At 40.4% G+C, this 24,097-nt stretch overlaps 1 protein-coding gene and 1 pseudogene across 2 annotated transcripts in view, besides 2 other annotated features; both read right to left on the bottom strand.

Annotated features, from left to right (window-relative positions):
• Window positions 1-24,097, bottom strand: part of SWAP70 (switching B cell complex subunit SWAP70) — an 88,917-nt gene that overhangs the window by 56,340 nt on the left and 8,480 nt on the right. For both annotated transcript variants that reach the window (NM_015055.4, NM_001297714.2), the window contains exon 2: window positions 2,368-2,508. In NM_015055.4, coding sequence (NP_055870.2) covers window positions 2,368-2,508 — 141 coding nt within the window. The remainder of the gene's footprint in view (window positions 1-2,367; window positions 2,509-24,097) is intronic.
• On the bottom strand, window positions 15,416-15,730 carry RN7SKP50 (RN7SK pseudogene 50; annotated as a pseudogene).
• Window positions 17,603-18,142: an enhancer, noted in NCBI's record as "NANOG hESC enhancer chr11:9700059-9700598 (GRCh37/hg19 assembly coordinates)". NCBI's record gives its function as "activates a minimal SCP1, AML or CMV promoter by ChIP-STARR-seq in primed H9 embryonic stem cells {active_cell/tissue: H9 hESC(primed)}" and the evidence as "EXISTENCE:reporter gene assay evidence [ECO:0000049][PMID:30033119]".
• Window positions 20,314-20,848: an enhancer, noted in NCBI's record as "OCT4-NANOG-H3K27ac hESC enhancer chr11:9697353-9697887 (GRCh37/hg19 assembly coordinates)". NCBI's record gives its function as "activates a minimal SCP1, AML or CMV promoter by ChIP-STARR-seq in naive H9 embryonic stem cells {active_cell/tissue: H9 hESC(naive)}" and the evidence as "EXISTENCE:reporter gene assay evidence [ECO:0000049][PMID:30033119]".

Below are 24,097 nucleotides of genomic sequence, written 5' to 3'. Positions count from 1 at the left end.
AAGTTGCTTATATCCTACTGGTCACATAAAAAAACCTTTTTTTAAAAAGTTGCAGAGCTGTATGTATAATATGATCCTATTCATGTTGAAACAAAATAGCATATATTGATTTGAGGGTGTGTGTACATGTGTATGTGTGTGTGGGTGCATGTGTGTGTATGTTTTCAGGTAATTTTTGAAAGTCTACAAAGATATTCTCTAAATTATTAACACTGGTTACTCCAGGAAAATCAGACTACAAAAAATTAAAGCAACGTTCACTTTTTATTTCACATATTTCTGTATTAACTGCTTATGTACTACCTTTTGTAACTTTTTCATCACCAATTTTAAAAATTATTTAAATGTACCATCTTTTCTTGCATCAAATTCAAAATTTTAGTGTGTCAATTTGTAATGATCCAACCCAAGGGAAAAACCGAACATGGCCCCAAACACTAATAGGTGATATTTGACTTCCAAGCACCTCACAGGTTTTTTAAAGCATCTTTACTCAGAACATATCCCAGAGGAAATATCTAAGTGGTACCCTGAAAAGTCTGGGATAAGAGTTGGCTGTATAATATCTATACAGTAAAGATAATCATCACTTTTAATATTCACACATTACTCCACCACTTCCACACTTTAACAACCATTGCCCCAGCCTGGGCAACATGGCAAAGCCCCGTCTCTACAAAAAAATACAAAAGTGAGCCAGGTGTGGTGGTGTACGTCTGCAGTCCCAATAATGGGAATCTGAGGTAGGAGGGTCACCTGAGCCCGAGGAGGTCAGAGGCTACAGTGAGCTGAGATCGTGCCACTGAACTCCAGCCTGGGTGACAGGATGAGACCCCTCAAAAAAAACAACTATTGCCAGTATATATGAAACCAGATTTTTTTTTCTTCTAAAAACAAAAACAACAACAACAACAAAAAAAAACGGATACCTGTGCAGCACGTGCAGGTTTGTTACATAAGTGTACGTGTGCTGTGGTGGTTTGCTGCACCTATTGACCTATCCTCTAAGTTCCCTCCCCTCATCCCCCAACCCCCAACAGATCCTGGTGTCTGTTGTTCCCCCCTCTGTGTTCATGTGTTCTCATTGTTCAACTCCCACTTAGGAGTGAGAACACGTGGTGTCTGGTTTTCTGTTACTGTGTTAGTTTGCTGAGGATGATGGCTTCCAGCTTCATCCATGTCCCTGCAAAGGACATGATCTCACTCTTTTTTAGGGCAGCATAGTATTCCATGGCGTATATGTACCACATTTTCTTTATCCAGGCTATCATTGATGGGCATTTGGGTTGGTTCCATGTCTTTGCTATTGTAAATAGTGCTGCAATAAACATACGTGTGCACGTATTTTTTTTTTTTTCTGACACGGATTTTCGCTCTTGATGCCCAGGCTGGAATGCAATGGCGTGATCTCGACTCACTGCAAGCTCTACCTCCCGGGTTCAAGCAATTCTCCTGTCTCAGCCTCCTGAGTAGCTGGGATTACAGGAGCATGCCACCACACGTACTAAAAATAATTTTTGTATTTTTAATAGAGATGGGGTTTCATCATATTGGTCAGGTTGGTCTCAAACTCCTGACCTCAGGTGATCTGCCCGCCTCGGCCTCCCAAAGTGCTGGGATTACAGATGTGAGCCACCCTGCCTGGGCATGAATGTATCTTTATAGTAGAATGATTTCTATTCCTTTGGGTATATACCCAGTAATGCAATTGCTGGGTCAAATGGTATTTCTGGTTGTAGATCCTTGAGGAATCGCCACACTGCCTTCCACAATGGTTGAACTAATCTACATTTCCACCAACAGTGTAAAAGCGTTCCTGTTTCTCCACAGCCTCGCCAGCATCTATTGTTTCCTGGCTTTCTAATAATCACCATTCTGACTGGCGTGAGATGGTATCTCATTGTGGTTTTGATTTGTATTTCTCTGATGATCAGTGATGTTGAGCTTTTTCATGTTTGTTGGCCGTGTAAATGTCTTCTTTTGAGAAGTGTCTGTTCATATCCTTTGCCCACTTTTTGATGGGGTTTTTTCTTGTAAATTTGTTTAAGTTCCTTGTAAATTCTGGATATTAGACTTGATTTTTTTAAAGCACCCTGAGAGAGAATAGGTACAGATTAACACAAAACACAGTTCTTAATTTCAAAGAATGAACCAAGTTGGAAAAACATCAAACCAAGTTTAGAAGACAGTGGAGGAGAGGGAAGAATAGGAAGCACTGTCAGTCTCTCATTCTTTCTTCCTTTCTGGTTTATCTAGTGATTCTTTGTACCTCAACTCCTTAGTGAACTCACCAACAGGGGGCTTTTGGGCCCACTTGAAACATGCAAACCAAACAATGCTACACCCAAAAAAAGGTTAGAATCATACCTTTTCCAAAATGAACCTGTTTAAATAAGGCATGTAGCCCTGGTTGGACACTGGACCCTCATCATCATCCCTGAAGTGCTCTTCAAGGGCAACTGGGTCATGAGGAACCTTCAGCACCGTGCACAGGTTATGGGAAAGGACCTGCAAGGGAAAAGAAAATCGTTTAAAGACTCCCACTAACCAGCACATGACACCTTCACCATGAGTACAACATGCTGCTCCCTCTCCTGGGTAGAGAAAGATGGAAAATAAACTAGCAAAAACAGGGTGAGGACTGCTCAGCTGCAAGCCCCTACTTGTAACCTGTTATTCTTTCTCATTCCTTCCCAGGTTTGGTTCACTTAGAACTAGTCTCTATTACATGCCTACTATGAGCCAGGCTCCATGCAAGATCTGTGAATATAATACTCCTGTGGTCTTTTACTAATTTGTCCACATCAGAAAGAAAAGTGGGGTGGGGGGGGAAGTCTAAGAGAATGTGTTCAAAATTAAACTTTTCACCAAGTAGAGCAGAGTCAGCCAATTAGAGCTGTTCAGAGAAAGAACCTGGTATTATTGGGAGGCTGCAGCCAGGGGTTCTGGACAAGGAGGCTGACCTGGGCAAGTCACAACCTCTCCAGGCTTTAGTTTTCTCATTTATTCAATAGAAAGGGCCAAATTAATATACCAAATATTAATTAGGAATCTCTAAGTATCTAAACATTTCTAAAATTCTATGACTAGGCTAAATTTCAGCATGAGTATAAAAGAATATAAATATAAAAAGAGAAAGAAATCAAGGGCCTGGATTAGATTCAGGAAAAAATTAAATAGCAAAAATAGGAGTCGCCAACATGGTTAAAAATATTTTACAGAAAACCTGCATTCCATAGCATAAATACATATAAAGGGCTACTGGTCTTGCAATAACCTAAGTTCACACTTCAAAGTCCAGGTACAGTAGTTAAATGAGCAGTGTGGGCTACCTTAGTATTAATCTTGTTTTACATTAAATGAAAATTTCAAGATAGAACTTAAATCCCTTCCATTTCATTTGTGCTTTCTGAACAGGTCAAATTACATAGCTAAGGCTGTATTTTCTTCAACAGAGAATCTTCCTAGTTGAACCCCAGGTAAAAACGTTCCTTATTTTTCTCAGCCCTAAACATTTAACCTTAAGGAGCCACATTCATCTCAATAAATACTTTCATTTGCATTAAGCGAGTCCCTTTTTCTGCATACACATATTTCAGTTAGGAGTTTTTTTAAGATTAAACATTTTTAATCTATAAAATAATTTGCATATCTTCTTTCTAAATTTGTTTTGTTTCTCAAAGCTTCATTTATGTGGAGATCCTTTTCTACATGCTCTACTGGTTTTAAGGAAGTAAGTTAAGGAAGTAAATTCACAAATGGTTATAAATGCAGTAATGAAGACTACAAAGCAGGCTGTGTTTCTCAAGCAAACCCTGTGTTTGCCAGTAAAGCACATGAAAAGAGTACGGTGGAGCTTTTATTGGAGAATCCTGCACCACAATCAGCAAAATTTTAAAAAGATATTTAATTTATATTAGCCTAGTAAATCCTATATACTAAAGATCAATTTCAAGAATATAAAGAGCTTAATAACTGTAAAATGCTATGGAAATACAAGTATTAAAGAAATGCACACTTCTCAGATCAGGTTCAAATGTCATTCAAATTTTAAAATCATTTGGAACTTTACCCAAGTTAACAATTCCCAACTACTGGTTAAATTAAGGTATATCCATAAAACATAAAAACCATGAGAAAGCTTGCTATGTACGGATATGAAAAGATCTCCAACATAAATTAAGTGAAAAAAACAAGGTACCTAAGAATATGTATGCCATCTTTTGTATAAAAAAGAAAAGGGAGGAAGAAAAGAAATTCTGGAGGGATATATAAGAAACTAGTAACTGTGAAAGGAAGACAAGTTTGATGAGACCAAGGTTAGAAAAAGACTTCACTGTAGCTCTTCTTTGTATTAAGTTTTTTTAAAAAAAATTAACCTACTCAAAAATGTAGTACATATTTTTAAAATTAAATATATATATATATATATATATTTTAAGTGGCCAGCCTAAGATCACATAGATCAATCTATTTATCTTCATAGCCTATACTTTTTCTTCTACATTAACCTGCTGACTAGAAATGAGGTGTAAAAGGAAGACATATTCCACAGCAATGTACCATGACTAATGGATGAGTGAGCTGTAAGGGCAATAAATGAGTTCAGAAAAGGAGAAATAGTATGTGTTACAGTGACTTCACAGAGGAAGTAAAATGTAACTTATGGCTTACAGGATAGGTAAGGATAGCTTTAGGATAGGAATAGAGGCAAATACAAAAATTTCCAGATAGGGGAATAACATGATAAAAGTAGCTGATTAATCCAAAGCCTTCAGGAAACAAAAAACACCATCTCTCCCATACCCACCCTGTTCTCTACCTTAGGGTTTCACAGATCCTCTAACTAAAGCCCTGGCAGGGGCCTTGGATGTCATATTGTCATCCTCATCTTATAAATGGTGACTACAGACTCACAGATATTAAATTTGTTTTTCTTGACTAAAGTTACTGAGAAGAACTGAGACTAGAACTCGGGTTTTGTAATCTCTGGTCCAGCACTCTCCAGTAATAAGAAACATTATGTCTTCAGTTGTCTAAAGTCAACAATGCTCTTTGTACATATAGATGCTTAGTTTGATTAAGTGATCCCACTGCAGAAGATATAGATTTGAACTCAAGATTTCAGCCTTCGACAATTAAACAGCACTCTTGTTAAACACAGGGATGGCTAAATTCAGTGATAATTTTCTTAACCATCTTTACTTAGGCAAACTGTGAGGAAGGCAGCACAGTATACAAGGCACCTGGAAGAGACCTGCGCTCCAATGTCTCTGCATCCTCACTGTCAAATGAGAGTTGGACTTGTTTGTAAAACCCTTAACTATCAACCCAAACTCATTTCATAATTTAGATAAGAAGTCCAGCTTTGTGACAGCTTTTTCACTGTTAGTAAGGTCTATAAAAGGGAAGTCTTCTTCAAAAAATATAACAACAGGCTGGGCATGGTGGCTTATGCCAATAATCCTAGCACTCTGGGGGGCTGAAACAAGAGGATAGCTAGAGCCCAGAAGTTCAATACCAACCTGGACAACATGGCAAAACCCCATCTCTATAGAAAGTACAAAAGCTAGCTGGATGTGGTGGCACATGCCTGTAGTCCCAGCTACCTGGGAGGCTGAGATGGGAGGCTGAGGTGGGAGGATCACCTAAGCCTAGGGAGGTCGAGGCTGCATTGAGCCATGATCATGCCACTGCACTCCAACCTTGGTGACAGAGGGGGTCCCATCTCAAAAATTAATTAATTAATTATAATATATATGTATATATAAAACAACCAACTGAATAAAGCAACAATGAAACAGTATTTCTAAAAGAGGAAAAAATTGTGTACTATCTTTAAAACTTTTTATCAGCAACCTTTCTTTAAAGCTTAGACAGTATCTCAAGTATTTTTTTCTTTTTTAAGATTTATTTGTATTTTTTAAAAATAGAGATGGGGTCTCACTATGTGTGCCCAGGCGGGTCTCAAACTCCTGGGCTCAAGTGATCCTCCCACCTCAGCCTCCCAAAGTGCCAGGATTATACACATGAGCCACCATGCCCAGTCTCAACAAGGTTTTTTGTTTGTTTGTTTTTTGTTTTGAGGCAGAGTCTCACTCTGTCACCCAGGCTGGAGTGCAATGGCATGATCTCAGCAACGTCTGCCTCCTAAGTTCAAGCAATCTTTCCACCTCAGCCTCCCAAGTAGCGGAATTACAGGCACCTGCCACCACACCCAGCTAATTTTTATATTTTTAGTAGAGACAGAGTTTCACCATGTTGGCCAGACTGGTCTCAAACTCCTGACCTCAAGTGATCCACCCACCTTGGCCTGCGTGCTGGGATTAGAGGCGTGAACGACTACACCTTACCAAGGTTTTCTTTTTATAAAAATAAAATATACAAGAAATAAAATTTTTGATGGCCGGAATATAAACTAGTAAAAAGAAGTAAAAGCTCCTCCATAAACTTATACAGCAATTTATGCTTTTTCAAGTAGACTCATACCATCTATTAATTTGTTTTAGCCTCTCCACAGGGAGAATAGATATTATTGCTATTTTACAGACGAAGAGGCTGAGTCAGAGATTAGGAGATGTGTCCCAAATCACAGAGTTTTACGTGTAGCAAAACTGGGATTAGACCCAAGCCTCCCACTCTGGTGTCCTTTCCATGCTTTGCTACCTTCCCTCTGTTTCTGGAAAAACAGATAGCCCTGCCAATACAAAGATGGACACGCCCGTGAGTTGTTTCTAAATTTTAGTGATGTGCTGGTGCTACCCCAGCCCCACCCCATCAGCTCCACAGGGCCCAACAGAGATGACAGGCACTATTCAGCAGAGCCAAGTTAGTGCCAGTGGCAAGGAAGTCCACATACCTAGAAGTCTGGGACCGTTCTCTCTCTGGGAGCCCTCATCTCCCAGCACCCTATCCCTCTGGGGGAATCTGCACTAAGAGGCACTAACCCCTTCTCCAGATGAGGAAGCTGAAAAGCAGATTAAGACAAAAGAATCAGAAAGAGGACTACAAGTTCTTGATTTGTAAAAGGACTGCCCCAAATCATTCTAATCAGGGTGTTTGCAAGTTTCTTGAAAAAGCTGAATTTATCCCGCTTCAAATGCCTGTTCCTCCAAAGGCCATTCTTTCAGCACCCACATAATTGCTAAGCAGCTTTGCTCTCATTCTGCTGATCTGAAGAATAAACTATTGTTACCACAATAACAGATCCATATCCATGCCAGAAACTCATCTCTCCAGTTCCCTCATAGCTGTCTGCAGTTGCCTCTGCAGGGCCTCTGCTGACAAGATGACTAATTAACTGCATGAGCCCTGCTCGTGTGGTCTGTTCCTGTTCAGTGGTTTGCTTGCCATTTACCCCTTTTGAGCATTTTACTCCAGCCATCATGAAAATGAAATCAAGGATGGTGAACAGTGTTTTAACACGAGTAAGTAGTGTTCACCCTCCTTTCTCCAAAGACGTAGAGATTCTAAAAAGTTATTTAAAACGTGCCACCCAGTAACACACTGTTTCCCTTTACAGGATGTGCGTAATGGGCAAGATTCAACACTGAAAAAAAAGCGGAGTGGGGGCAGATTTCTATTCCAAAAGACTTATCTGAACTGACACAATTATAGACTTATAACTCATAATGGGCAATCTTTTTTTAAAACATTAAAATTCCTGTCTGATTTATAAAATTTCAAGCCAATGGCAAATTACCAGAAAATTCTTCCTAACAATGGACCAGCATGACCAATTTCCTACCACAGCTATGCCCTGCCTTAAAAGCATTGTCTACTCTAAGTCCTGCCCATTCCCGCATGGACTCATTTTCCCCTTCCAAACATCTTTTCATCCTGCTTGTCACTGCTTAAGTCTTGCTTGTTTCCTCTTACCTTTAATCTAACCAGCCTCAAAAATCTCAAAGTCATTGTTCACATTGCTCTCAATCCCTAAGTACAATCAGTTACCATCCTAGACACTTACACCAAATCTTCAAGTACCACTAACATCACGTTATCCCCCTGCCTAAAAATCATCAGAAGACTACAGAAGTAAAAGCTAAGGAAATATGTGAGTTGTATATTTAAGTCACTCCACAGGCCAGCCCACTTCACCTTCCTTATTTCTTCCCACCCTCTGCACCAACCATATAAATCCAGCCAAATAAGCTTACTAACTGCATCCCAGGCAACTTGTACCACATCCCTTTCTCCCCTGGGCCCTTGCTCAATTTACCCCTACCTCCTTTCCTGCCTAACAAAAATGGCATCTCTTTCTGAAGCCTTCACCACCCAAACCAAGATGATCTTTCTTCACTCTGTTTCCCAAGCAGTACCTCTTGTGCTAACTACCACACATGATTTCTCTCTCCTGTAAGACTGTACATTTCTGAAAGGCCCATATCTTATACAACATTGCATGCCCATGGCACCTGGCATGCTGCCCAGAATCCAGAAGACTTTCAATAACTGCTAAGTGAATTCTTTCTAAAAATTCTCTTAACACTAAAGCCGTGATACTTTAATATTAACAATAATCTTAGAAAATATACTATTTCTATCTCCTCACTTCACAGATAAAAAGACTGTGGCCTGAGACTTGGCCTAAGTCACACAATAATTAGCAACAAAGTAGGGACTAGAACTCAAATCTCTTAGCTCTCTGTCCCACAGTGATGCCCTGTGCTGGAAACATTTCTCTTCTGCCTAGTCACATCCTTCAAGATTGGGTCATTCATAAACTCTAGGAAATCTTTATGGATTACCACCCTGCCCCATGAACTCCTATTCAGCATTTAACTATGTTCTGTTTCAGATACTAATGGTATCTCAAATATCTAACTTATCAAATATCCTCCCTTATTGAAGGGAGGAAATAAATATTTTCCTTCTGCATCCTTCAGTGACTAGCATAGGGCTAAGCGAAGATTCAGTAAGAGCAGAACACTTACAGACAGATTAAGGAAAAGTAACTCAAAGTCATCTGTTGGAATGCTGTCCACAGAATATATGCCACTGATGTCATACAGCATGGATGGCACTGGATTACACTCTAACTGAACCACCTTTTTAAAGTTATTTTGGATAACTTACCAACTTACCCCTCTTCAGAAACTAAACAGAAAATACTGGTAAATTTGACCACAGAAAAATGCTTATATTTTCTTTTAAAAAGAAAGAAACCATAAAAAAACAAAAAAGGCAAATAGCTCCAATATTCAAATCATTCTTGTGGACACGAATAGAAAATTCACAAAAGAAACTAATCACTAATAAATAGAGGATACCTTTCAAGTTCAGGTGGAACTCCTGGGACCTTTAACTTTTGGATTGTATGGCTAAGGCATAATGTTGTTTGTTGTGTATTATATTTGGTATAACTTTTCTTACTGTTTCTCTACTAAGAATGCCTTTAAATATGGTTATTGTGATACTTTTTTACAAGGAAACTATATTTGAGCAGTTCCAAATTGTACATACTGTATGAACCTTGTCCTCTGAATGGGTTCCTTATTTCTACACGGAATTGCGTAGCTTGCAGTATCATGTAACTAAAGATTAAACCTCACCTTTTACTTCAAAAATAGGCAAATAAAATATAGGAAAAGATGCTTAATCTTGCTAGTAATCAAAAGAATGCACATTAAAAGAGCTACTACTTTTTGCCTAAGTAATACCTGGTGTTTGAGGAGATATAAGGGAGTAAAGACTACCAATATCCAACACTGCAGAAGGTACAGAGCAGGTTTTTCTCAACTTCAGTACTACTGACATTTTTGGCTGAATAATTATTTGTTTGGGGGACAGGGCAGGTAACCTACGCATTGTACAATGTATAGCAGTATCCTGGGTTAAAAACATTTAAAACATCTCAAATACCTGTGAATAGGAAATGGTTAAATAAAGCATGATGCATCAACACAATGAAAGAGTTCACAGTCATTATAAAGGATGGTGTCTGTATCTATATGCATTTATACAGAAAGATGACCCTAACACAATGCTTAAGAAGAGACTACAGGCCAGGCACAGTGGCTCTCACCTGTAATCCCAGCACTGAGGGAGGCCAAGGGAGGAGGATCACTTGAGCCCAGGAGTTCAAGACCAGCCTGGGCAACAAAGTAAGACCCTATCTCTACAAAAAATACAAAAATTAGCTGTGAGCCTGTGGTCCCAGCTACTAGGGAGGCTAAGGTAGGAGAATCAAATGAGCCCAGGAGGTTGAGGCTGCAGTGAGTCGTGATGGTGCCGCTGTACTCCAGCTCTGGCAACTGAGCGAGAACCTGTCTCACAAAAATAAATAAATAAATAAATAAATAAATAAGAAAATAAAAGAGGATACGAAAGGATACAGAATATGACCCTATTTATACAAAAGGACATATATGTCTGTGTATTTACATATGTGTATATGCATGTGTGTACATGATGGGGGAAGGGAGAAAGAGAGATATATAAGAAAGATATTCACTGAAAAGTTAATTACAACCTGCCTTTGGTGGTAGAATTTGAATGTTTTACTTTGGACTCTGTACTTTAATACATTGTTTGAGTATTCTATGTATTACCTTTCAATCAGAAAATGAAGCTTTTATCTTTTAATATTTTATATATTTTAAATAGAAAATTAAAAAATTAAGTAGGGTGGAGGGCTTGCTATGGTCTGAATGTGTCCCCCAAAATTCATATGTTGAAACTTAATCTCCAATGTGTCAGTATTAAGAGGTGAGGCCTCGCCGGGAGCAATGGCTCACGCCTGTAATCCCAGCACTTTGGGAGGAGGCCAAGGAAGGTAGATCACGAGATCAGGAGATCGAGGCCATCCTGGCCAACATGGTGAAACCCCATCTCTACTAAAAATACAAAAATTAGCCGGGCGTGGTGGTGTGTGCCTGTAGTCCCAGCTACTCGGGAAGCTGAGGCAGGAGAATTGCTTGAACCAGGGAGTCAGAGATTGCAGTGAGCAGAAATCACACCACTGTACTCCAGCCTGGGTGACAGAGCAAGACAAGACTCCGTCTCAAAAAAAAAAGAGGTGAGGCCTTTAGGTGGTGATTAAGTCAAGAGAGCGGAACTCTCGCAAATGGGATCAATGACCTTATAAAAGAGGTTGAAGGGAGAGAGTTCCCTAGTCTCTTTTGCCCTTCTGCCATGTGAGGATACAGCAACAAGGAACCATCTTGGGAGCAGACAGCAAGCCATCACCAGACACTCAATCTGCTAGCATCTTGATCTTGGACTTTCCAGTATCCAGAACTGTGATAAATAAATTTATATTATTTATAAATTACCTAGTCTGTGGTATTTTGCTGCAGTATCAGGACTAGGTGAAACAAGGCTCCTGCTAGAAAGCACCAGTAAAATTAGAAAATGAAAAGATCATTGTAGAACTATAAAGTTGATAAAATTAACTCCTCTGAGCCACCCACAAAGCATGCTTTCCCATACCTCTTTAAAAAGCCACCCTATGGAGGTTGTGGCAGGCCGAGATGGTGCTACTGCACTCCAGCCTCGGCACAGAGCGAGACTCCATCTCAAAAAAAAAAAAAAAGAAAGTCACCCTAATGGACAACAAAGTCCCCCAATTTGGGACAGCCTCCTGAGAGTCCAGCCCCCCAGTGAAATATTGCACAAATGTCTTTTAAGAAGGTAAATGATTTGTGAGGAGATTTAACTCCAGCAAGCTTCTTTATCTTTCTCACTACTCTGTAAGTTCCTTAAAGAGAGAGTCTGTATTTTAGCCATCTGTGCAATACGTATTTTAGCCATCTGTGAATACCAAAACCTAATGAAGTACCTAATGAGAGAGCTGTTCAACAAATGTTTGCTAAATTAGTCCCATTTAAGAATTTCCAAGAATTTTTTTCTTTTTTTAAATTTCATTTTGCTACTTTACCATCTTCATCTAGATCTGGGTCTTTGCATTTATTTTACTATACTACCATGTTTCTAGAAGAATTTTTAATTGGAATCTCTAGTTCAGATCACTTTCAGAGTGAAAAACAATGCCTCCATTAGTTCTTAACACCACCAGAACTAGCCAAGCACAACTCGTCTGGCCTGAGATCTAGTAGAGAAGTCCAGTTTCTTAAAATTCAAGTACAGACTTCTGAGAAAAGGACACAATAAGAATTAACAAGCAGGTGTGAGAGAAGGCTCTATAACAGAAGAGGGGGCTCTGAGCTCCTTGACTATCACCTCCTTAGAAGTTTAATTTAGTACACTCATCTCCAAGAGAAAATGTGAAGTCACAGTGTGCATTCAAAGTGGTGACAAAGACCACAAATCTGGCTGGACGCAGTGGCTCATGCCCATAATCTCAACACTGGGAGGCTGAGGCAGGAGGATCACTTGAGGTCAGGAGTTTGGGACCAGCCCGGGCAACATAACAAGACCCTGTCTCTATGAAAAATATAAAAATTAGCAAGGCATGGTGGCGCACACCTGCAATCCCAACTGCTCAGCAGGCTGAGGTGGGAGGACCACTTGAGCCTAGGAGTTCAAGGTTGCAGTGAGCCATAACAGCACCACTGCACTCCAGCCTGGGTGACAGTGTAAGACCCTGTCTCAAAAAGAAAAATTTTTTAATTTAAGAAAGATCACAAATCTGAAGTCATTAAAATATACAGAAATCAAAAATATATAAAATAAAATTAAAAATAAAAGAATGAAAAAAAATCACAAATGTGAGGTTTCCCTCGGCTGCCCCACCTTCTCACCAACCTGACCCCGCATGGTCCCTAAAATATGACTTCTATCCCTATCAATCTCTTGAAATTGCTTTTCTAAATGGATTCTGAGGTAGACACAGAGATGCACCACTCAGATGCCCCCTCAAGTAGGTAACTGCTACCCAGCTACAAGGACTGTGTTAAGCTGATAGCCTCCAGCTACTTTCAGGGTCCCAGTGACAGAGCGGGGTGGTAGGATCACTTTTCCTCAATGTGGGAGTCCCATAAGGGGCAATCTTTGCTTCAGAGCTCCTGGTTTTGCCAAATCCATATGATGGTTTGACAGTTCCTTTTCCCAATTTCATTTCCTCTCTCCCACCCCACAGGTAACACTTTTGTATTCCTAACAGTGTCTTAACATTGGCTTCCTGGAGAACCCATGCTGGGACAGATACCTTCTGGCCAAGTCACTCTCCCAAAGGTCTGGCAGTTGGCAGTCTGAATCACCCCCTCCTCTTAGACGTTTTTGGTCCCTGACATACCATTTTCTTTTCTTTTCTTTTCTTTTTCTTCTTTTTTTTTGAGACAGGGTCTTGCTCTGTTACTCAGGCTGGAGTGCAGTAGCTCGATCTGGGCTCACCACAGGCTCGACCTCCTGGGCTCAAGCAATTCTCCCACCTCAGCCACCATCCCCCACCCCTCACCCCCAGCAGCTGGGACTACAGGCACCTGCCATCACACCCAGCTAATTTTTCTATTTTTTGTAGAAACAGGTTTCACCATGTTGTCCAGGCTGGTCTCAAACTCCTGAGCTCAAGCCATCCACCTGCCTCAGCCTCACAAGTGCTGGAATTACAGGCATGCGCCAGCGTACCCAGCCCAGACAGAATAGTTTCTAAGTTCTTCAAAGGTAAATTTATGCAGTCACATCCATCATCCCTCATTCTCCCAATCTGGTCATTTCCCAAAGATCAATTTTCAACCCTCAGTTCTACTTTAATTTCTTCTTAGAAAGTGCTTTTGACCAGGCACAGTGGCTCACACCTATAATCCCAGCACTTTAGGAGGCCAAGGCAGGTGATCACTTCAGGCCAGGAGTTTGAGACCAGCCTGCCAACATGGCAAAAACCCTGTATCTACTAAAAACATAAAAATTAGCTGGGCGTGGTGGCACATGCCTGTAATCCCAGCTACTTGGGAGGCTGAGGCATGAGAATCACTTGAACCCGGGAGGCGGAGGTTGCAGTGCGCACAGATTGTGTCACTGCACTCCTGCGTGGGCAACAGACGAAGACCCTGTCTCAAAAAAAAATAAAAATAAAAATAAAGACAAGACATTCTGTGTTTATGAATCAAAAGACTTAAATTTTTTCAAATTTTATATTTTATAAATCTAAACATTTATAAAAAGAAAAAAGAAAGTGATTTTATTCTGACAACCTTAAGTCATCTCTATTCAAATGATTCATAGATCTCTTTCTGGTCTTAACCTCTCCAGTAAGCTCTGGTTTATATCACTAAACAATACTAGAGATTTCTATTCTAAATCTGCCTCACGTCCAAAAGATCCAAATGAGATCTCATCACTTTTCTCCCCAAAATAGGTTTGCCACCCTGATTCTGACTTTGGTATCACCATTGCCTTAACAAAACTATGGTCTCTTCTTCTATCTCTTTTTCATACAGTTTGTCCACCTTCTGGATCTAATTCAGCCCCAGCCAATGCCAACTCCTGTCTCTACTGCGTGAGCCGCTCTGTCACCTTCAGGCTAACCAAGCAGAGAGTGTGAGGCTGGGGAAACAAGGGCTCCTCCCCTCACCTCCCAGTACAAGGTCCCATTCTCCCCTCTCAGGTCCTGTCAAAGAGTTGCTGCAGAACAACTACTCCTCAGGATATAACCATGGTAAACACATCAAGCTACAAGGTTCAGTTAGAAGGCTAAACCTCAAAGAGCATGTCTGCCACCCTACATTTTACAAATGAGGAAACTGAAGCCCAGCAAAGAGAAGTGATTTCCCATTACCACACAAGTAATGGAGTACAGGTAACTCTCCTTACTCCCCAACTCCTCTCTCTCTCAACACTTTTCATGTTCCTCTAAAGGTTTTACTTTCTGAATCTTTCATCATAGTATTCTCACAGGGGAATTTCATACATCCTTTTCAAGTTAGTGACAAATGTCTCCTCCTCTAGGAAGCATTCTCTGAGCTAACTCCTCATGTCCTCACCCCAAGCTAAATAGGTTCCCTTCCTCTGCATTCTGCCTTCTGTATCTCACTGTATTTGAATTGCCAGTTTGCTCATCTGTATCACTCACAAGATTTTAAGCTCTACAAGGGGAGGGTACATATCTGTTTTAATTTCCATAGCTACCACTACTGACCCACACTCACCAACTTACCCAGACTTCATAGCACCCCACTAACAAGTCCCCCAATCTCCAGCCTCTCACCTTTAGTCATTAAACCTACATCATCAGAATAATTTTAAAACCGTATCTCTGCCATATATCTACCTAAAAACTTTAAATGACTTACCCTCTTTACAGGGTCAATTCTGAACTAATTCTAAGACAGACTGTCAGTCAATAAACATATATTAGCCATATATTCTGTGCAAAAACATTCAATGACATCTAAAATGTAGCCCCATCTCTCTTTAAATCCTAATTCTCCACTATGCTTTAAAACAAACCTTCTACTCCACTCACAGTATTTCCTTTCTGCTCAAATACTCCAAGTTGAGGCTCTTGCTCTTAATTTACAGTGCTACCACCATATTTGTCACCTTTCTGCAATTATACTGGACAAGATCTGCCCCATTCTCTCAAGACCTTGAGAGCTTGTCTGGAGGTTCTAGCAGGTAAGCACAGCTACTCATATACCCTTGACCGAAGACTGGTCCTCCTCTATCGAGGATGGTCGTTCTCTTTGACTGAGCACACAGCATTGGGAGGGACGCACATGGAGTGGTGAGGGAGGAAGGGGACAACCACCTAGCCAGCCAGATCAGCGAAATCAACCCTGGTGATCAATGGGGTGACAGATATCACAGCCAGATCACCCTCACATTCGCCATTCTCTCAAGAAACAGCTGAAGTACTATCTCCTTCATGAAACTTTGTCTGCAACTGTCTATATCCTTTTCTCTATTTGCCATGGAAATATACCACAAACCACATATGAAATTTAGAATTTTTAAAGCCTCATTTTAAAAAAAGTAAAAGGGAATAGGTAATATTAACTTAAATACTATATCCAAAATATTGTAATTTAAACATGTAATCGGTATTTTTAAAAATGCCTGCAATCCCAGCACTTCAGGAGGCTGTGGCGGGTGGATCACCTGAGGTCAGGAGTTCGACACCAGCCTGGCCAACATGGTGAAACCCTTTCTCTACTAAAAACACAAAAATTATCCAGGCGTGGTAGCGGGCACCTGTAATACCAGCTATTCAGGAGGATGAGGCAGGAGAATCACTTGAACCCAGGAGGCGGAGGTTGCAGTGAGCCAAGATCATGCCATTACATTCCAGCCTGGGTGACAAGAGCGAAACTCCATCTCAAAATAAATAAATAAATAACGAGATATGTTACTCTTGTTTTGGTACTAAGTCTTTGAAATCCAATGCATATTTTATACTTAAAGTACATATCAACTCAGGCTCATGAATTTTCAAGCAGTCAACAGCCAAACGTGGCTACTGGCTAACACTGGATGGCACGGCTTAGAGTGGTCATCTTCTACACACTCTAGAACTTGTTTATATATTGCGTCATTGTGGTCATTTCATGTATTATCTTCTTGACTACATCACACAATCCTCAACTTAAGGGACAAGGCTGCATGTTTTTTTCTTCCCAGGGTGCCTAACAAAAAGTGTTCAGTAGCCTGAAACCTTCAAATTCATATAATGTTTTATACATTAGTTTTCTTCAACATCATTGTTTGGTAGAAAATAAGAAAGAATTTCTGCTGTCACATATAAAGGTTGTGAGCTCTATTATAATCTTAAAATATAAAAAGCAGGCCGCGTGCAGTGGCTCATGCCTGTAATCCCAGCACTCTGGAAGGCTGAGGCAGGCAGATCACAAGGTCAGGAGATCAAGACCATCCTGGCTAACATGGTGAAACCCTGTCTCTACTGAAAATACAAAAAAATTTGCCAGGCGTGGTGGCGGGCACCTGTAGTCCCAGCTACTCAGGAGGCTAAGGCAGGAGAATGGTGTGAACTTGGGAGGTGGAGCTTGCAGTGAGCTGAGATCGCACCACCACACTCCAGCCTGGGCAACAGAGCAAGACTCTGTCTCAAAAATAAATAAATACATAAATAAAAATATAAAAAATAAAAAGCAAAGGAAGCTTCCCAAAGTCACCCAGGTAAAGGACCTCAGAATTCCAATGTAGTCTGATCTACTAATTGTCTGCTGTCCTATTACCTAACAGTGTTTCTCAAATCATCACTGAAGACGATCACTGAGACTGGAGTCAGTTGCTCATCAAGCTACAAGGTTCAGTTAGAAGGCTAAATTTCAGGAAAACAGCCAGCTAGCTGAGTATCCATCACCCTAGGAACTGAAAGAATTGATGGAGATGTGCTGCCTGCCAAGGCTGACATGCCCCATCCTTCCAGAGCTGTCTGTAGAGTGGAATGTAATACCTTCCAACACTGTCCATATGACCAGAACAACTTTCATCCTAACTAGCGTCACTTCTGGCTGATACACCATGCCCACATAACACCATTCTCCTCCTTCAAATCAAATGTTGTAAAGCTAATTATTCCTAAAGAAGCAAAAGGTACAGAAAACAGAAGAGTCTTAAGATCAAAAAAATTAGTGTTTCTAATATTGCAGAAATCTCTCCTTAACCGCAAGATCTCCTTATATGAAATTCAAGTATACACACAGATTTCCATTTAAATATCTCTCCCTCAACTGCTGAAAACTGCAGTTTCCAGTAGACACAGATTTTGAGTTTAAAGAAAAGGAACACGAAGGTAGGATGAGAAGAAGGAAATGAAGCAGAAAGTAGAGCAGGAAAAATAGTTTCATGAAACGCAGTCTTGGGGAAGAAAAAGGAAGCTGAGGCAAGGATCTACCTTAGGCTTGTGTTGTGGGAGGGGAACAAGGACATGCCTAAGAGGGACTAAGGAAGCGAGTGAGAGTGCTAATGTGCTAATAATCACCACTGATGGGACTAAGGTTCTATAACCCTCACGGTGGGAAGGAATGAGAAATACCTATTGAGTGATGGCATGCTGAGTACCTGGGAGAAGGTCGCCTAAAGCCTCTTCTGTCTCTAGCTTTGTTACTATGTACCTCTGGGACTGTGATGAGACCCCAAAGGAAATACAAAATGGAGATCAGAGAGGTTAAGAACTCTGAGTCCTAAGATCAGAAATGTACTATTAAGATGGAAGGTCAAATACCAAAAAAAAAAAAAAAAAAAAAGCACCTCAGAGTTTACGTGTTATTTTCGATAAAAGTACATGTATTTCCCAAAAAAAAAAAAAAACATAAAAATGTCCAAGTTATCTCACTGAAAAGTTTCTAGCAAGTAAGGAATAGAAACTAGAAATAATCCAACATTCATTATCCTATTTTAAGATATCTAAATGTGTAATTTTCTCTTTATTTAGAGAGCTGCCCTTACTATTTTATTTTGGTGATATCTACATAAAAAATATTTACAAAGACTTTAGGCTGGGTGCAGTGGCTCATGCCTGTAATCCCAGCACTTTAATAGGCTCACTCAAGACTCTGATCCCCAACCCCATTTTAAAAATTGATTGTTTTTGTTCCTCAATAGAACCTTTTACCATAGAGGTTAGCAGAAACACAACACAAAAGATTAGGAAGGGAATACTATACATGCCAAGTTCACAAAAGAATTAACTACATTTGTATATTGTGTTCCACAAATAAAAACCCTGTCTCATAATTTGCTTCCTTTATATTTTCAACTTACCAATGGCCTGGCTGAATTACCTTTGTAACTAGCAAGTAAAATTTTTTTAGGCTAAATGTCTGTATGGGAACAGAAAACATGGTATGATTCGTAAGATATCCAAACCAATTGTGAGGCAAAAGATAAAAAAACTAAAAAAAGATTTTAGTTGAAAATCTATCATTGAGAAAATACTAAAGATTTAAACTATCCATGTTGTTCATCAAAATTTTTTTCATTTAGATCTACACCAGAGTTGTAAATTCTTTTATTTCAAAAAGGTACAATAAATTTTTTTAAAGCTGTATTTCTAAAAACAACAGGATAAAAATGCACAGACAATGAGTTCATTTCAAGACATTTCCAGTGCTGACATGTAATTCACCCTGCAACCATAACTGCAAAGTAAAGCTATAACAGAGGTTGCAAAAAATATCACTAGATTTTGCTATATTTAAGAGGAAAACATTTACTAAACAATAAGGGTATTAATTTTAAGCTTCATTTTGATCTCTCAAAGGAACAGAAGAAGCTAGAAATAATGGTTACCTCCAGGACAGGGGACTAATATGGGCCAAGGGTTAAGGGAAACTTACTTTTCATTTTTGTAAATACCCTTTAGAATTTTATAAAATTTATATGTGTCTATATGAGATATTAAAAAAGCTTCTTTTTAATATACATGTTTAAATAATAACCTTTTTTCTTAGAATTGTATGTACTGTATTTCTAAGTAACACTGGAGATTTAGCATCTTTCAGCAAAACCACTGAAATTCTAAATAATTTTTTAAAAAAATTGTTAGCACCAGTAGAAGAGAAATAATTATTGCTTCTACTTCAAATAAGATGCCCTATTCCTATTTCCATTATGACTTCTGCAAATTTATACCATAATTTAAAAGTAACAATGTCTGTTTCAGGTGCCACATTAATAAGGTTTATTATTATTAGAGAGTATAGAATCCACATACGAATAGCTCTCATTAAAAAAAAAAAAGAGAGAAATACAGTTGGCCCTCCGTATCCCTCGGTTCTGCATCTGTGTGTTCAAGCAAGTGTGGACTGAAAACATTCCCCTTAAAAACTGCATCTGGGCCAGGCACAGTGGCTCACGCCTGTAATCCCAGCACTTTGGGAGGCCGAGGCAGGCGGATCACGAGGTCAGGAGACCAAGACCATCCTGCCTAACATGGTGACACCCCGTCTCTGCTAAAAAAATACAAAAAAAATTAGCCGGGCGTGGTGGCGGGCGCCTGTAATCCCAGCTACTGAGGAGGCTGAGGCAGGAGAATGGCATAAACCCAGGAGGCGGAGCTTGCAGTAAGCCGAGATTGCGCCACTGCACTCCAGCCTGGGCAACAGAGCAAGACTCCGTCTCAAAAAAAAAAAAAAAAAAACTGCATCTATACTTAACATGGGCAAACTTTTCTTCCTGTCATTATTCCTTAAACAATGTAACTTAACAACTATTTACACAGCATTTATATTGCATTAGGTATTATAAGTAATCTAGAGATAATTTAAAGTATAAAGAAAGATATACATAGGTTATATGCAAATATTATGCCATTTTATATAAGAGTCTTGAGCATCCTACGATTTTGGTATCTGCAGGGAGTCCTGGAACCAATCCCCCAAGGATACCAAGGGACAAACTGTACAAACAAAAGAAGAGCACCAAAACCAAACCAAGGGGGAAAAATGGTGGAAAAAATGTCTAACGTTGAATTCAACTACATTTACTCAGCTACCTATGTGCACCTAGCACCTTCCTATAAAGAAAACCCCTTTCCATCTCTCTCAATACAGTTTTCAGTCTACCATCAGTTAACACAGAATATACTAAAATTGCAATCAAAACAGATAATACAGTCTTAAACTATACGGTTTGTTCTAAGAAAGGACTATTCATGAATACAAGTTTAAAAGCAAGTAGAAAATGTGTTTCTGGAAGTCTGTTTCCCCACTATTAGCCTATTGCTATCTACTTCAGCTGCTGAAAAGCAAGTAAATCTTTGCTTAAGAAAAAGCTCAAAACAATCACTTAGTGTTCCTGGTTAGTTCAGCCTGAAAAACCAAGTAACACCAAATCAACATGACAATCAGTTGTATTTAACAATCCAATTGCAAATCAAGTTAACAGAGCTGATGACTTCTATGAACGTGCACAGGATGGGTGCAGAGATAAAGGCCTACGTACTCTCAACTCAGGTGGGGAGCCAGTCAAGTTACAACTGGAGCCAGAGAGACAGAGCTCCCCGGTAGAAGGTGCACAGATTGCCAGGAAGATGCCCAGTGAGATTACAGGGAATGCAGGAGAAGGAAGGAGAAAAAAAATCAAGGTAAGGAAAGGGAAGCAGACAGAAGTGGTTCCCTTTTTGGGGAGAGGGGTGGTGTGCGGAGGAGGGCTTAAAGATTCGAGAAAACCTACTGACCTGCAATGACCTTATTTATGGCTATAAATATATATAATATATATAAAATATAAAACAGTTGTTTTAACAAGAAAACATTACTGTGACTAGACAACCAGCAAACATCTGTTTCTATTGTAGTTTATGTAAGCCATAAGAGGTCTTTCTCCCTTTCTCCCTTTCCCTCCCTCTGTCCCTCCCTCCTCCCTCCTCTCTCTCTCTCTCTCTCTCTCTCTCTCTCTCTCTCTCTCTCTCTCTCTCTCTCTCTCTCTCTCTCTCTCTCTCGCTCCCTCTCTCTCTCTCTCTCTCTCGCTCCCTCTCTGTTTCTTTCTTTCTTTTTCTTTGGATACAGGGTCTCACTCTGTTTCCCAGGCTGGAGTGCAGTGGCACAATCATAGCTCACTCCAGCCTCCATCTCCTGAGTTCAGGCCATCTCCTGTCTCAGCTACAGAAGGAACTTGGACTACAGGCGTGTGCCACCATACCTCTCTAACTTTTTAAATTTCTTGTCTTACTATGTTGCAAAGGCTGGTCTCAAACTCCTGGGTTCAAGTGATCCATTTGCCTCAATCTCCAAAAGTGCTAGTATTACAGGCATGAGCCACTGCACCTGGCCTAGGAGTGGCTTCTATTTTTTAAATTTAAAATTTTTTTTTTTTTTTTGAGACGGAGTCTCGCTCTGTCGCCCAGGCTGGAGGGCAGTGGCATAATCTCCGCTCACTGCAAGCTCTGCCTCCCGGGTTCACACCATTCTCCTGCCTCAGCCTCCCGAGTAGCTGGGACTACAGCCGCCCGCCACCACGCCCAGCTAATTTCTTTTTTTGTATTTTTGGTAGAGAAGGGGTTTCACCGTGTTAGCCAGGATGGTCTCCATCTCCTGACCTCGTGATCCGCCCACCTCGGCCTCCCAAAGTGCTGGGATTACAGGCATGAGCCACCGCACCCAGCCTATTTATTTATTTTTGAGACAAAGTCTTGCTCTGTCACCCAGGCTGCAATACAGTGGCACTATCTCAGCTCACTGAAACCTCCTCCTCCTGAGTAGCTGGGACCACAGGTGCCCACCACCATGTCCAGCTAATTTTTAAATTTTTTGTAGAGATAAAGTCTCACTATATTTTCCAGGCTGTTTTCAAACTCCTGGCTTCAAGCAATCCTCCTGCCTCAGCTTTCCAAAGTTCTGGGATTATAGTCATGAGCCACTGCACCCAGCTTCCCAAGGGTTTTTTTTAAATCTGTGTTCTATAGTTCGATTTTATTGATAAGTTTGACAAAAGTCTGTCTGCAACATGTGATATTATGAGACAGAGATATACATAGATAAATATATATAGGTTTTCATCCATGGTCCCTGGCTCATAACGCCATAGCCCTTGTTATAATGTTGGGGTGCTTTAGGCCTCAGAAGCAGGTCTCAGAAAACAGAATCTCAGCCAGGTGCAGTGGCTCACACCTGTAATCCCAGCACTTTGGGAGGCCGAGGTGGGCAGATCACTTGAGGTCAGGAGTTTGAGACCAGCCTGGCCAACACGGCGAAACTCGGTCTCTACTAAAAAATACAAAAATTAGCCGGGTATGGTGGCATACACCTGTAACCCCAGCTACTTGGGAGGCTGAGGTAGGAGAATCGCTTGAACCCAGGAGGCAGAGGTTGCAGTGAGCCAAGATCATGCCATTGCACTCCAGCCTGGGCGACAGAGCGGGATTCCATCTCAAACAAACAAACAAACAAACAAACAAATAAATCAATGAAAAAAGAAAACAAATCTCTCTCTCTCTCTCTGACCTTCTGCCCTTTTTTCGCCTGCTCCTTTTTCTCCCCAAGGCAGGCCGTAGAAACTAAAAATATAATCTCATCTCCCCCAACCTTTCTATCTTGGAGCTGGCCATAAAGAAATTCTCTGACCTTCCTTGTCTAATTGAAGGCCACAAGACCTTCATTTCAGAAGGGGTCCTCCCCCATACCCTGGAGGAAGGAAAGCTACACAGAGAGACCAAGAAGAATCTGAACAGACAATCCTTGCTGGATTTTCCCACTCAGTCTATTAATATTAGATCATACCCTTTTTTGTCTAATCACATTTCTACATGGTTGTCTGTACTTTAATCATGACTATCCAATAAAGTCTCCATAAGAGACGGAAGAGGACAGGGTTTGAGGAGCTCCCAGAGAGCTGAACATGTAGAGGCTTAAAGGAAGGTTAATGAGAACTCATTCATGTACCAGGAGGGCAGTGCACCCCAACTCCATGAGGATAGAAGTTCCTCGCCCTGTGTCTCTCTTCATCTGTCTATTTGTATCCTTTAAAATATATTCTGTAATAAATCAGTAAACATGTCACCCTAAGTTCTGTGAGCCACTCTAGCAAAGTAATTGAACCCAAAGACGGGGTCACGGAGAACCCAACTTGAAGCTGGTCCATCAGAAGTTCCAGAGGCCCAGATTTGCAACTGGTAGGAAGGAGGAGGACCGTCTTGTGGGACTGAGCCCTCAAACTGTGCGATCTGACACTCTGTGGGATCTGACACTGTCTCCAGGTAGATAGTGTTGGAATTGAACTGGAGGATACCCAGCTGGTGTCCACTGCAGAACTGATTGCTTACTTGGTGTGTGGGGAGAAACCTCCACACATTTGGTCACCAGAAATCTTCTGTGTTGATTGTTATTGTGGTGTGAGAGCAGAGAAAAAAACAGTTTGTGTGTTGTTTCCACTGACATACTATTAAAATGATATCTAATTATGTTGTTAATTTTTCTTCAGATTTTGCTTCAAAATTTACTTGGATCATTTTTCTTTTACTTAATAATATGCTATTTGTTAAAAATTAGGTATATAAATAAGCTTTGTCTGTACTACACTGGGGGCCCTCAAGGCCAATATTTACTAATTATAGCAATGACTCAAGCACATTTATCTAAACGAATACCATTCTACAAAGTAATCTTCTTAAAAATGAAAGATACAGGCTGGATGTGGTGGCTCATACCTGTAATCCTAACACTTGTAGGTGGATGGACTGCTTGAGCCCAGGAGTTTGAGACCAGCCTAAGCAGCAAAGTGAGACCCTGTCTCT

This window comes from Homo sapiens, chromosome 11 (assembly GCF_000001405.40).
Source record: "Homo sapiens chromosome 11, GRCh38.p14 Primary Assembly".
In the NCBI taxonomy this organism is placed as follows: domain Eukaryota; kingdom Metazoa; phylum Chordata; class Mammalia; order Primates; family Hominidae; genus Homo; species Homo sapiens.
Note: the sequence above shows the minus strand (reverse complement) of the source record. Positions and strands in the feature narration are given on the sequence as shown.